This window comes from Homo sapiens, chromosome 3 (genome assembly GCF_000001405.40).
Source record: "Homo sapiens chromosome 3, GRCh38.p14 Primary Assembly".
NCBI lineage: Eukaryota > Metazoa > Chordata > Mammalia > Primates > Hominidae > Homo > Homo sapiens.
This window is the reverse complement of record NC_000003.12, coordinates 18,363,177-18,378,911: the sequence shown is the minus strand read 5'-3', so window position 1 is coordinate 18,378,911 and position 15,735 is coordinate 18,363,177. Positions and strand designations below refer to the sequence as shown.

Here is a 15,735-nt window from a genome sequence, read left to right as displayed (position 1 = left end):
TGATAATTAAGCAAGGCACTCTACCTGCTTCATGGATGGATAGAAGATTTAAATACGCAGTTCTGCAAATGGCTTTGTTATGGAAGATTTTTTAAATGAAACATAAGAGGAAGATGCATAAAAATAGTCTAAAATTAAAAAGGCCATAGTATGTAATAGCTATTAGTGATTCAATTGTCTATTAGGCACCGGGCACCCAGTGAAGATACAGCACTGTGCATTATGATTTTAATTGTGAATTTCCTTTGTTAGGATTGCAATGGAAGGTAATTGGGAGACAATTAGTTTAGGGTTTTCAAGTCTTTGAAACTATTTCGTTTTCCAGAAAACTTACTTTATGGCATTATAATTCCTGGTTGTCAGCTGGCAGTTGCTGTCATATTACAGATGCAATCACCTGTGACAATGTGACTTCCCTTAACTTAAGCAATCTGATCTCAGGGCAATAACTAATGTTGAATGACTGCACTGTTGATCACCTTGATCATAAAAGGAACAACAGTGTCCAGTTTGGATGCTGAGCCTGAGAAGCTTCAAAACAATTCAGCCAATGAAAAATGACAGCCATGTTCAAAATGTTTTGTAGGTGAAAACAGCTACTATTGCCACTGAAAGGAATGGGAAACCAGAGAACAATACCATGAACATTAATGCTTCCATTTATGATGAGATTCAGCAGGAAATGAAGCGTGCTAAAGTGTCTCAAGCACTGTTTGCAAAGGTTGCAGCAACCAAAAGCCAGGTAAGAGCCTCTGTTAGGCATTGAGAATGTTTATCTGTGTTGCCTGTAGAATTTTCATTAAAAGGAGTGTCTATTTTCAGTATGAACTTGCATCACGGAGAGGCCTCTGTGTCTAGGATTATTTCCAGAGCTCTAAAATGAAACAATATTCAAATTCAGGTTATAGGCACTTAGTTTTGTTTTTTCCAATAGCCACTCCTCAGACCAAGGATTTTATGGTAAATCCCCAAGTCAGTTAATAGGTATTTTGAGAAGGATATCATAATGGATAGTCAGTTTCTCAGTCTGGTCTATTGTAGTAGAATAAATAATGTGAATTACTATTATTTCATTATTGCTTAGATGATCTTTATTTTTTTTCCTACTAAAATGCTACAAAACTTTATACAGTTTCTTCTGTTCCAATTCAGCCATCTAATGTGGCATTGGTGGTATAGCAGTGAGCATAGTTGCCTCTCAACTCAGCTGGCTGCAACTATTAAATACACTTATTAAGACAAACTGACACACACACACACATAGCTTTGCATATTAATGATTTTAATTTTTCTGTAGAGTATGCAAGACACACAGATTGATTACAACTTGTCCAACCCTGAATTACAGCTGAATAGCCTTGAATTGGAAAAGTTGTAAACTTCTACCAAACTAAATAAAAAAGGATAGGTCGTATAGTCTTTTATCAGCATAACTGTCAAATATTAATAATTCATGTTCATCAAAAGTGGAATCATCTATATGAACAAACTTAGTTATCTATAAACCCTTCTCCAAAGCCAAGAATACTTTTTAAAGGACCAGAAGAACACTAAACTCTTTTCCCCCTTGAAAAAGAATTTCATAACACTATCAAGGTGACATTAGAGGCAAATAGGGACTCCAGGTAAGATTTTAACAACTTGAAATTTTACACAAGTATATTTTTATTACCATTAATGAATCCTAAAACAGCCTGGCTGTTGTCAACTTCTGATGAAATACACAATTGTGGGAGTATTTATAATCCGATATATTTGTAACATAATAATCTTTTCAGATTTTCCTAAACTTTTACCCTATCGACATTTATAGTGTTACTTGACAGGAGTTTTGCTTTAGAAGAATGTTGTTCTTGTTTAAGTTATAGGCCTGATGAAATACTTAAGGGATATCTTGGAAATGTTATATAAAAATGATTAAACTCAAGCTGTGGACTGTAAAAATTATAGCTTTATAGGCCACATGCCTGCCTACCCTTCAATCACTGTCAAAGTGATAATTTCTACAATAATATGTTTCTTTTATTGTGAGATTCTAAACATCAAGTGCTGTTTAAACATTAAACTGAATTGTTTATGTTAGTGCTGTACTCAGCGTGTCATACATCAGGCCACCGTAATCTCTCATGGAATGTAAAATTCTGTCATGAATCATGGCTTGTATATCGGAAATTACTGTAATTTTGATTGGAAATTACAGGGCTCTTGAAATGTTTCTAATTATGATAGAATGTTAGAGCCGCTTTAAACCTGTGTGCTTCTTCAGATGTCTTCATTTACATGCCAAGACTACGCATTTAAGAGAAATGTCCTGGTCTCACTCCCCCCCCCCACCTACTTGCCCACCCCACACATTCTTGTTTTGGCTCTTTAGCCTAATTATGATGAGGATATCATATTTAAATATATATTATCTTGCCTTTCTTATTCTACATTTTTTTTTCTGACCTGTCCGATCATCAGTAATAATCAGACTGCATTCCTACAAAAGCCTGTTTCCCTAAATCTCCAAAATGGAGAAACTGGACATGTATTATAGTAAAGGTTAGCTTTAAAACAAAAATTAATATTATAACTTATTAATAACCATATTTAGTTATCTATCACCTGTCATTTAATTCAATCTACCCCCACCCCCGCCATCATTTTCCTTTCTGATTCCCTGTGATTGATAATTCCTTTGCTATCTTTGACTTCATCCTTTTAAATGATACCCCGGGTTCTCCCCAATCTGGGCTGAGTACTGATTTTGGAGCTATTTAGATAGTAGCAGCAACTGGCTAATAATGTCATATAGGTGATGTTCTAAGCCATTTTAAACATCCCTGCTCTTTGTTACCCTGTCCTACACAGCTCCTCATGGGTCTCTATTTCAGCAATGTAAATAAGCAAATTCCAAGCATCTTCTGTGATGGTGTGTTTCCCAAAGCCCCAAAGCTTTTAGCTAATTACTCATTACTAGTTAAGAGAAAATCAAAGGGGCCAATAGTGGGCTATGGGAGTCAAGCAAACTATTAACTTTATTCCCTTGGATAGTTATTCTCAACTTCTAATTTACTCTAACGTCCTAGTAGAGCATTTTTGTAGTCTTGACTTAGTTGTTCAGTTTAATGTTAGCACTACCCTGTTTATGAAAACATGTAGAAAGATTGATGATTGCTTAAAAAATGAGACAGTCCAAAACCTGTGTATATCACTAACAAAAGAAACCCGACTTAATAAGGAAAAGTGGCCATTTACTTAGGTTCTGTTCTCATGCTATGATGTTTTGTGAAGGAAACAGAAAAACTAACAACAACAACAAAAAAACCCTTCAAATCAGACTGACCTTTTTAATGGTCAAAATATTGCACTTCTAAAATAGATATTTAGGCCTCAGATGTGTGCCAGGACTTGCCAAAATGAGGCAGCAGTCCCCCAAGACAAAATGTGTGTGAAGCAGGAAGAACCAGAGTCTCTTCTGTCTCAGCCCATCTACCTACATCTGCTTCTGTGTCTTGCCCTGGTTGTCTGGGTTGACTTAACCATCGTGTTTTTTTGTGCTAGACCCTATCATGCATTATAGATTATCTGCATTAATTTAGTAACCCTGTGAGCTATTATTTTCTTACTTTTACACATGAGAGTTTCTTAAATAATAAATGTAGTACAGCCAACTCCAAATTCTCTGCATTTCTCCTATTTTAGACTGTCTTCAGGGTTCAAGGCAGCATCATCACTGAAGTACTACCCTGATCTGAGGAAGAGGAATTAGGGATACTGGTCTTATTGACAGTAGAAACAGTGAGGGCTTTCCTTTCTTCATTGACATATTCATGGAACACAAGGTTCTTACCAACACAGAGCCTTCAGAGTCCAGGCTCTATCATACCTAATGGAGGTGGGTGTACAGGGTGGAGGAGTCAAAGGAGGCCAACTCTGATCCAGGTTGTGTCATTGGTGGTATAATATTGGAAAATTTTAACTTTTGAGCCCAGGATTCTTTTAACATAGAAGGCACATGCTACAATGTATGCAAAAGAGCTTTTAAATTATATAGCACTATACCCAAATGGTAACGTTTCATAATGTGCTAAGCAAGAGGTTCAGTCCTCCACATGGATAGAGATTTATTTATCAGGTATTTATGTATCATAAATACCTTCCATTTTAAAAGGTAAAGCGTGCTCTGCAGTGACTAATGCACAGTGTATTTTCGGTAAAAGAAGCCAACTCGTGGATTCCACCATTTCACATGTATTGTCTCTTCAATGAATAATAGATATGGAATTGTTTTTAACTCTAATAGAAACGTCTGATAAAATATGCAAGTAAAAACTGAAGGTAGGCTACTTTTTGTGCTTGGTTAGGAAAGCAGGCTAATGCAAACTTTAAAAAGATGATATGCTTTAAACATAATGTGAGTAGCTACAAATGAATACACTTTATATTCTGGGTATTCAAATAAGCAGCAGTTTTTCCAAGTGAATCATATTGGAATTTTATCAAACATTTAGTCTGATAACATTCAAATAATTATGAGAGCAGAATTTGCTAATTTTACTGTTTAAAAAAATAGTTGATTTGGGTAATAACCATTACAGTATCAAGGTTCAGTTACTGTTCATTGGTTATAGTGTTTTCATATGGGAGATGGAAATGGAATTTTTTCCTTAATGGTGGCAGATGTTGGAATCTAATTTTATTCCACAGCAAACCCCTCGAGAGCTCTGAGACTTAAGGTGTGTGTCCAGCAAGGAGACATTAGCAGCACTGTAGGCCTTGCCTTGTATACTGAATTGTTACATTGATTTTCATGTTTGCATAGGTGGAGCTTGCAGGTACAGTAGTGCAGTAAGACAGTAAAGGGCTTTCACAGAACCACACTGCATCATCACTTGTGCTTAGAAAATAATTTCCTCTAGTGTTTTATTGAACAATGTATTTATTTTGGATAAAGCAACTAGCTGGTGAAAATTCTGTTTGACTAACATACTTTTGGTATAATATTTTTGCAGTCTCTGAGTTGTAGTACTTTCTGGCTGCTACAACTTTGGCTGATGAATAGGTATGTTTTTAATACAAAAAAATATAAATAAAGAGCATTTCTGACTATGCAAAAATAACATGGCTAGTAGAAGAGACTGAATAATTTAAAGCCTTCTCTTTCATCTACTTTTCAGTCACTTTTGTTTGTCATTGAGATTCATGGCCCCTAGGATGAGAGAGAGGGGAAAACAAGGATGAAAGAGAGAAAAAGAATACCTCCATTTTCCTTAGGTTTGTAGGTGAAAGAAAACGTCATTCTGACCTTTAGGTTTGGAAATTCTCACATGGTAATGGATGTCTTAAATGCAAGTAAGACACGTGTCGCAAATCATTGGGGCTAGAAATAGGGCTAAAAATGTAATTTTCATTGCTGAAAATAGATCTATAGTGACAAAATCCAGGAGTAAAATCATGGAACCATTGACATTGCATTCTGTATGCTAGCATGCTAGTGAAGGCATCTTTTATTCTGTTAGAATTAAATTACACTTCAGTTTTTAATTCTGTGCTGATTCATTCTTTTGGAATGTTCATATAACAGACTTTGCTACAACAAGAGTTCACCTGTGTAGCCTCCTATTTAAGGCACATAGGAGGCCCTGCAGATTTGAGAATCATGGTTTCTGTTATTTCCGGTGCTACATCCTTTTGTAGCGGTCTGTGGGATCTTCACATTGTGGCCTAAGAGCCCCTTCTCTTGGGCAAACGAAGCCTTCTTCATTCACTTTCTAAAGAGAGAACTGCCCCTTTACATGTTCTCCATCTAAATGTGTAGAGGACACCCTGAGGGGGATACAGCTTCTGTCTCCCTGGGACCCACTTGCCTGGAAGAGGAGGAGGCAAGAGAAGTATTTGTGAGGAAAACAAGAAGACAAGTAAGACAGTCCAGAGTGTGGTCCCTGCATCTCAGCAGTCTGCTGGTGTTAAGTTTAACACAGATCTTTGGAGGTCCCTGTGCTCCATTCTTGAGTAAGAAGGATGTGGAGTTCATCAGTCTCTTTATTTAAGGTGTTCTATATTAGTGGCCATTTATAACAATCTCTTACATCTTAATGTTGGGAATTCATATTGGATTCAATTTTCTAAAACGTTGATATATTTTTATATTTCTAGTTGAATGCCAAACAGGACTATTAAAATTAATGGCTTTAAATATTGACATTAATAGTTTGAAGGTACATGATTGTGTATGATTTTTTAAGAGCTAATTGTGGATCTGAATATGCCTTCTTTTGAGATTCTTGCCTCCTAAAAATAAGTATGTTTGTTTTAGTGTATCTAGGATTTGATCTGTGAGGTCCAGAATTATTAAATAGAACAATTGCTTACTTATCATATTTCTGGCTAAAAAGTCGTATCAAGAGGTGATTTATCCCCTAGACACTTGGTATTACCTACCTTTAAAAAAATGAACAGAAGATCTCTGGTTATCGTGTTGCTTCTTTGAAATAATTTAAAATTTTCACCTTTTCCCCATAAATTTAGAATTAACTGAAAGTCAAATATATTTTCTCTTCGACCCACTTAATAAGCTTAACTGTTACAAATATAGACATAACTCATTAAGCCTCATTTCTGCATCTTTAGAAGATGTCATAAGAAAATTTTTAGACCAGATTTGAAGAGAATTAATTTGTGAATATTGAGCCAGCTTTAAGGAGGTTCATCATGTAAGGAAACACAAAGAAGTTCACTGCAAGAGTGGTCCCTTTACAGCAATCCAGCATATATGTTCTGAAGCACGGCTATGCCAACTATGTATTCATAGAACCTGCTTTAATATGAGAGCACCTTTTGTCCTAAAATGTTAGTGTAAGCTGAAAAGTGTAAACTAAGAATATTCTATAAAGTTTTCTCTTTTTGGAAGCTCTTCTGTATTCAGCTTTGTCAGTTGAAGAGTTAGTTCTTCAGGACAGGTTCGGGTGGGTACAGAAAGTAGGGAAAACAGCAAATCAACAAGGTTTCACTCCTAACAGGAATTAATCTTAAAACTGAGTGTCATTCAGTTAAACTTATCACACAGCTATAACACTGATATAATCCTTTAACAATCTACCAAGTTAGAAGATGAAAGTGTTTTTTCTTAAAAGTCTCAGTAGTTGTCTTTTATGTTTTTGATAATGAAGGTAGGTTTTATTTTAACTTTATCTTCTTTTTTCCTCACATGAGAAACGAAAATAAAGACCCTGTGAAATGAATGAGCTATGAAAATGCATTTATACTAAAGGACAATAGAAAAATAGCTGTGGAAGAAACTGTACCATTAAAATTTCACATCAGTGAAAGGTGCTAAGAGAGGAATGGAAGAACTTACGTTAGTAAAATGAATCTAATGTAGAAATTTTCTGCCCTGCCAAGAATATCGATGGTATCTTAAAAAGTAACCTTAGAGATTACTCATTTTTCTAAGTATACTTGTTATACTTTTAGATATGCAACCCATTTGCTTGGCAGAATGACACAAATCATAGACCACCCATTTAAAAATATATATATCTATATTTTAGAGATTAGTAGACATATAACTACTCTGTAATTTATAATTACATACCATGTAAAAATAGAAGTTGTAAACCATTTATGAAATCAGCATACAATTGTCAAATTGATGTTTTTTCCCCTAAGTCTTAATCTACTTCTGTTGTATATTAATAGAAAATCTATTCTCCTTTGATTTTGTGATTCACCTATTCCAGTTGCCTTTGTGTATTTTTTTAACAATTCCCTTTTCAACCAAGATGCTTCAGGAATTGGGTTTAAACACACTGTTTCATAAACTGCCAGCCTCCTCGGCCGCCTCAGTGCCTCTGATTTCGTAAATCAGATCATAGGCAGCATGCTGTCATATAATAAGGTGTCTGATCCTTATTACCAGTTTGTTGATGCACAGACTCCTTCAAATTGACCATTGCAACACATGGTTTCCCCTGAAACTAGCTGTGATAATTAGCGTGGTTCTAATGAGACAGAATGTCACTGATCTTGTGCTGAACTGTCGAGTATCGACGCTACGGATGGGAACTGTCAGAGCCTGCCATCTGTGACAGCGCTTGGCATATTCCAGTGGCAAGGTAGAGCATGCTCAATAGAGTATTTTCAAACAAATGGCCCTTTTCTTGATGAGGCCTCTGTTTTCTGTTCAACAGGAAGAATGCATGCCCCAACTCTGTCCTATGCTAAACCCATTTTGAGGTCCAAATTTGAGTAAATATTTAAATCTGTTATGTGTTACATAAGAGAGGAATCTTTTGTTTAGCAGGTGAATCTTAAGTGGCATTTCTTTCCTTGTTTTTAGGGTTTTTTTTTTCTTTTCTTTTCTTTTTCTTTTTTCTTTTTTGTTTTTCCTCTTTTTTTTTTTTTTTTTTTTTGCCTCTCTCAGTTGTCCCATATTGTCAGTTAACAGTAAAGCAGTCATTTAAGATACTTTTCCCCAATTTTAAAATTGCCTTGTTTAGAGGAGATTTGTTGGGGAGTTGGGGATGGCTCTTAGTGATAAAGCAGTCTGATTTAACAGAGGGAAAGGGGAATTGAAAGAAGTAGTTCAGAATGTATATAAGAATACACAGGTTGGATAGAAGAATTAAAATGGACAAGACAGTTAGATCTGTCGGCTCCAGAGAAAAGAAGAGATTTTTTGCTATAGTAAAAGTCCAGCGCTGCTTATCATTCCAAAATATGCTTTGTTGCTTTTTATTTCCTCCTCTCTGGCAGACCACACAGGGCTTGTTCTGAAGAACATTTTCACTAATCTGATCAGGCAGCCAAATACGCCGGGAAAACTGCTTTAATGATCCCACTAATTACCTCAAGTCAATATGAACTGTATTATTAGACTGAGGGAAAATATTCCATTAGGTCTCCCCCTTGGGAGTTTCTCCGCTTTGTGATGTCACTGAAGCCTTCACCCTCTCGCTTGTAATTAATTTTATTTACACACGCAGGCACGCACAAGGTCACACCTGCACAACCGGCGCTGGCCAGGGAGCTTGTGGCACTCCGGCTTAATCAGATCTGTCATAATTACCATTCTGCATGTTTCTGACACACGCTGTGAAATATTTCAATTTAACTGCCGCTACCAGCACAACCAGATGTAGTGCGAGTGTGGCTGCATTGGAAATATTATTCCTCAGGATAAACTCTCTCCTCCTCCTTTTTCCTCCCACCCCCCCATCCCTTACAGCTAATGTGGCACAGAAGCTGATGTATCCTGTAAATCTTGAATGCAGTGCTAGATTGATAACAGGCGATTAGACAGTTTAACCACAAACAGCTTGTTCATTTTTCACAAATGAAAACCACATGTGGTGTAACTAAAATTTCAGGCCCCCCTTTTTTTTAAGGGTTGGGGTATGTATGTGTGTGTAAGATGTTCTTAAATAAAAATAAAATGCAGTCAAAAGAAGTTGTGTCTAGAAAAATGGGGTTGTCTAGTTTTTTTCCAGGTTATTTTATCAAAACCTTCATCAAATTCCATTTTTATACTTTTACCAAAATTCAAATGGTAAAAAGATTGTATTCTGTGTTGGGCTTTTCATTTTTTTTCTGTAAGTTTTTTTTTGTGGAGGGGGGTGGGTAGGGTGCATAATGTCCCTTGATTCTATGCCGTATTATGTTTTCAGTGTTAAACTGTTTATTTGAACCTAAATTCTGAAAGGATTTCTAAGACTGGACACAGGTAGTTTTCTAAAGGACAGCTTTTCTTTCTTTTTTTTTTTTTTAATGCAAAGTTGTTACTTCAGGCTTTATAGTCAGATACCAGACACTCAAAAAGCAAAAATGGCCCCAGTTAGGAACTTTATTTCATGGAGATATTTGTGGATTTGTGTAATTGATTTGAAAGGCAGAGTTGGAAACCCTGAGGATTCTGCTTTTATAGAAATTGGAGATAACCTGGCGAAATGCAGGCACAGTAGGTAACTGTTTAAGGCTAAAGTTATCACCAGTCTCGGAAGAATCCCCCTATAAATAATTGGATCCATAAGAAGGCAGATAAGCTGGTGGAAAACTAAAGCTAAGAGCGGAGGAGGAAATAGGATCAGTGGTGTTTTTGAATCATACGTCCTGGAACCAGATCACAACAATCCACTTTAGAGACCATTTAAAACATAGATATAGCCTACTTAAATATCTTTTAACTCCAAATAAAATACACTCTTTTTCTTTTTATCTTTATTTTTGTTTTATGACTTCAGTTATGAACCTAGCTTGGAAGCTACTTAGAATGGTGGTGGTGGTGATTCCTGCTGTCCAACTGAGAGAAGGTGTACTTTCCCAAAGAATAGTGGGGGTTTTTTGATTCCTTACTCATTTTCCCTTTTGCTTAGTAGTTTCCTCATGTCGTGTTTCTTTTTCTTCTTTGTATAATCTTTGCTTCCTAGTTTTTTTCTGGAACTTTCTTCCCACTTAGTCTATTTTCCATGTGTTTTGTGTTTACTCCACGATAACTTTCAGCTTTAAAATCTGATATTTTTTCTTCCTATTCATAGTTTCTTTTGGCCTAAATATCACTTTAAAGGGAAAATAAAATACTGTCTTTGCCTTTTAGTTAGAACTCTTCTTCCATCTAATTTAGGTCATTTGTTTCTCCCATCTTAATCTACCTTTGTAATCATTTTGCAAGATATAGTTATTGTAGAATATTTGATTCAATTCCTATATCACAACACTCTCCTGATGAGTACAGATATCACCTCAGAACCCTTCTTAACACAGAAGTAAAAATACCCATTGCTAATCAGGGAGATAAACCCATCCCTGCTGTAGTCACTTGTATTTTAGGATTCCCAAATGGGGGTTTGCTATTCAAAGCATAGTTGTGTGGGATAAGTCAAAGAAATAAGAAAAGTGGAGGTAAATAAAATTTATGGTTTCATTGCTAATGCCCTTGCTTTAATAACCCTGAAGTTTTTTGTACAGCTACTTGAAGGTATGTTAGGGATAAGCCAGCATGCAAGTTCAGTCACTTTTTGCAATCACTGGTGGAGCTCACCATTAAAAGGAGTCCTAAATTGTTCCTTTGCAAATGAAAGATTTCACTTGCAAGATAAAAAATTATCCCCCAGTTTTTCATGTTTGCAAACATTTTTGTGTATTTGTATTTCTTTGCCTGGCATGCCTGTTAATACAAAAGGGAACAGAAAAGAGAGGGGAAAAAAGTTGCTTCGTTAGGGATGCTGTTGTGTATACGGAGTTTAACAAGATCAGTATTCTCAGTACAAAGAAAGAGCACATCTTTTCATTAAATTAATCGTTAGACTACAAGAATCCTGCGTTTCAAAGACAAATTATTTATTTATGGACCCTTCCAGGTCCCTATCTAATAAGAAGACATTTTCCATTTGTCTGTTAACAAGTCACCGATGAAGAATCAATAGAAGTGTTACAAACTTTATCTTGCCCCAACTGAATCCACCATCCTCAGTCACTCTGCAATTGCTATTCTTCAGTGCTCTCATATCTTCATGAAAACATACAGGAAGGAAAAGTGATTCCTTTTAATGTTCTTTGTTGTTTTCTTCTGGACCCACTGTCTTCATTTTTCATCATCATTGTTGAAGTCATCAGTATCATTTGCAGTGTAGCCTAAGCTGAAAGGAACTAGAGGGCATGGCTCCTGATTTTCTACATAATACAGAAATAAGGTAATAGTACCTAATTTGCAAACTCACCGATGTTTTACCTAACAACTTGTACATGAATTGCATCATTCATGGAAAACATTGGGAACTGCAAAGAGTGGTAGTCCCAGTTCCACTGCTAACCTGCTGTGTAGTCCCAGGCAAGCCGTTTAACCTCTCAGACATTGAACTTCCCCTTCAGGAAAGTAAAATAGATTAGGTCATATTATATCTAACGTCCCTTAAAGTTCTAGGTCTGTGTGTTTGTGACTGAAACAGGTACACAAGTATTACAGAGGATGCTATTTTGATTGAAGACACTGCTGACAGGTGTTCTAGTCTGGGAAACAAAAGGTAAGAGTTTGGATAATGGAAGGGCTTAGTTTGGGGGGTAGGCGGAAAAGTGATATTTTGGGGTCTAGAGCCAAGAAGGGTTATTTACAGGTGGCATATAATGGGTTGAATTGATTGTTGGAATCCAGTATATGAACTCCATATTACATGGTGTGAGTTGAGCTCATGATTGATATACACTTTTCATCTGAGACTTGTTGATAGATGACTGGGAACTCTCCCTATTATCATACAGAGACCTAGCAGCATCAGTACAGTATAGAGTATGAGATGAGCCGAATTCCATTGGGGAATGGGCTTGGTTTAATATGTGGTAGGGTGGTGATTGCTAGCATGATATGATTTGAAGGTTGCTAAAGACTTTCCTCTTTAAATATGTCTCTTTTTTGTTTGCTTTTCAATTGATGCCTGAAGGTCCACCCTTAGCTGCTCTTTTGATTGATTGATTGATTGATTGATTGATTGATTGATGGAAGTTTTTTTCTGGCACATTAAAAACTTTAATAGCACATTAAACGGGAAAGCAGGGCAATGTGAGAATACTCGATTGATGAGAAATCACAGATTTGGAAGAGATTAGGGAGATAGGGAGTAAATACAAAGGAAAAGGAAGCAGGGAGTGACAGCTCATTTGAGAGAATACCTTGAAAAAAAAAAAGAATACCTTGAAATCCATTTTTGCAAGTTTATAAATTGGTACCTGTAGCATTTAATAGCTGCTGAGATGTGTCCATCCCCAAATGTCGCGTTTAAATGTTTACCCATTTTACTTATGGTACCAACAGGAGTGCTGCTTGTCATGGGTGTTACTTGACTGGTTTACTGATGAAGTATTTGGTTGTTTAAATGAAATGCAGATTAGGTAAAAATAAATTACTTTCAACAAGGTCAAGGAAGTGAAGGTTGTAAATAAAATATACATTCACAAACAGACAAATGCTATTTGGAAATCTAGCTTAGTCCATGCCAAGCTGTTACTGTCTAAATTACCTTCTTTCTTCCTGGCTTGCAATTAATTTTTGCTTCTATGTTTGGAGATTGGGGGAAGGGTAATAGCCTAATGGGTAATGATTTTATTTTAGTATTTTGATTAAAGAGACTAAATAGCTTGGACCCTGGATAACCATAAGGACGAAAGCCTTATCCATCAAGCTTAATTTCTAAACAGAAGTTTATGCTTGTATTTCTGAGCAAATTAGCATTGAGCCACATATAATATAAAGTTATCAGACGGTTATGTGCTCAATTATTTTCTACCTGTCTCCCCCCTTACCATCTTTTCTACTCACCTTCTTTGATCTTCTGTTAGACTGGAGGACAAGGCACAAGGCAGCTAGTTAGACAAAGACTGTATAGCCATGTGCTCTTTGAGAGGCAGTGATCAGAGAGCAGGGACTGGTATTTGATCACTGCTAGTTTCCTAGCATTTGCAGAGCCACTCCCCTCCCCGACCCTACCCACCCGCACATCCAATGCTTGTGCCACTCTTCCATTCTGTATCCTGCCTCTATCCTGTATCTGTCCTACCTTATCTCCTTCTATTTGGAAAACCCCTGTGTCTTTGGAAAAACTTGTTGGTGTTCTCCTGGCAGGTAGACATTTCTGAAAGGATACTCTGCTAATCTTATTTACCTTTAAAATTACTTGGATGACATGATGTCAATACCCGTAACAATTTAGATGCTTTATTCAGAAATTGTAAGCCCAATCTCTGTGTTTGTAACAGGACCAGGAAAACAATGAGGTATATATGTGCTAGTGCAATTGTAAACCAAAAATTGTAAGCTGTAGAACCATCATTTAATTAATGAAATCTCATTCAGAACTGAAATATATAAATGAGATGAAAGTTTTCTCCATTTTGATTGACCTGAGGATTGAATGGGGGCAGGGACCTTCTCATCAACCCCTTAACCCTACACATACACAACGCGGGTACTTCTGAAACACCTCTAATGGAAACCTGGGGCTACTGAGGACACAGTCTAGGAACCCCTGTGGTAGTGACTGTTTTTCTCTAACCCATCTCTAAGAGGCATGGTCCTTCAGTGGCAAAAAAAAAAGGAAATTTGTTTCACAAATCCATAAATACTAAGATTTTCTAATATGTTAAGAACTTATAGGAGATAGTTCTGGAACAGTATTTGAAGTGTGTCTATACGTACGTGTGTGTGTGTGTATATATATATACATACATACATATATATTTGATAGCTATGTATGTATACACACACACGTTTATGTGGGGTAAGAGGAAGGGTCACCCATTTAGGGGTTCTTAACCTTGGCCCACCTTCTCCCCCAGGGAACCATGAACTTGGATGAAAAAAATGACTTTATTTTCTCCAACCTCTTCTTACTGAAAGTTGACATTTTATTCAATTATCAATATAGGCAACAAATGACAGTAGCAATACCTATGAATTTGTCACCATTAAAAAAAAATCACAAAATATTTTCCTGTCCTATTATGTTGTTCTAGATATCTTAAAATATCATTTATGCCCATCACTATAAAATTACAGTAGTTATTAGATCTGTTGCTAAACCTTGTTATTTAGTGTGTTAATAAAGAAGTATATATATTACTGTATCACAAATTTTTGATACCTGTATTTCAGTATAATTGATTTTCTTTGTAATCTTATGTATTTTATTTCAGGCACATAAAAACGCTGTTCTGAAAAGGCATCCATGGGCTTTACCAGACTCCCAGAAGGGTCCATGGCACAAGAGATGAGATCAATGATTAGATAAATTTTGTAGAGGAAAAAAATATATATGTATTTTATCACATGAGCTGAGGGATTCTCAAATTAACCTGAGAAACATTTACTTTTTGTTTATTGCATTTTGGTATGCTTGCTCTTCAAGCATCCTTCACTCCAAAGCATGTAAACAGAGGTAACAATGATGCAGTGACATTTAAAACAACCACCAAAACAGAAACCTTCCAGACAACCTTTTCTCTGATATTCGCATGCCCACATGCAGTGCTGTAGGACTTTGTGAGAGAACGCCTTTGCTTTTAGATTAGACATTTTTTTTTCCAATTGAACTAACTATACCTTTAGTATCAACTTAAACCTGAAGTTTAAGTGGTTCTTACCTCACTGGACAAGAAGTTTTGTCCCCACATCTCCTGTTAGCCTACACAATGACTAGCACATAGATGGTACTCAGGAATTCTTTGTAGGAGGATAGAATGATTCAGAAGTAAATTTTAATCAGCTCCCAATATTACCCTCACAAATGCCAGCCTATTCCAAAGGGAGTCAGTGTGGGACAGTGGGAAGAGGCGCTGGAGTGGGCTCACAAGGATGGAGTAGGGTCATGCTTCACTGCTGCCATTCTCCCCTGGAGCCTTCTCTGAGCTTGCTTTCCCCAGATGTAAAATGTGGTCAGAGGAGTGATTGAGACAGTCTGTGCAAAGCCCCAGTCTCCCTTGTCTCCTTTTATTGGTAAAATTATAACCCGGCCATTGTCACTGAGACCCACATGATGCTTCTAGAAATATTTATGCTTGCCTTTTTTAATGCCTACTTGTAAATCACAAGATTTGGGTCTTTCAAATTAAGCCAACTTCTGATTAGCAAGTTTGTATAATGGATAAAATGATGCGGTTTTGGACACTTTATCAGCAAAATCATAGGCAAGTTGGGAGCTCATAGTGACCCTGCTTGCTTGTTCCTCTTAGGGTGTGATTCCCTAACTTTTACAGTCCCAAATTGCC

The 15,735-nt window shown here is 36.5% G+C and overlaps 1 protein-coding gene across 13 annotated transcripts in view; it reads left to right on the top strand.

The window, feature by feature from the left end:
* Positions 1-15,735, top strand: part of SATB1 (SATB homeobox 1) — a 100,216-nt gene that overhangs the window by 66,681 nt on the left and 17,800 nt on the right. For all 13 annotated transcript variants that reach the window (NM_001322874.2, XM_011533989.3, NM_001322872.2 and 10 more), the window contains one exon: positions 587-742. In NM_001322874.2, coding sequence (NP_001309803.1) covers positions 587-742 — 156 coding nt within the window. The remainder of the gene's footprint in view (positions 1-586; positions 743-15,735) is intronic.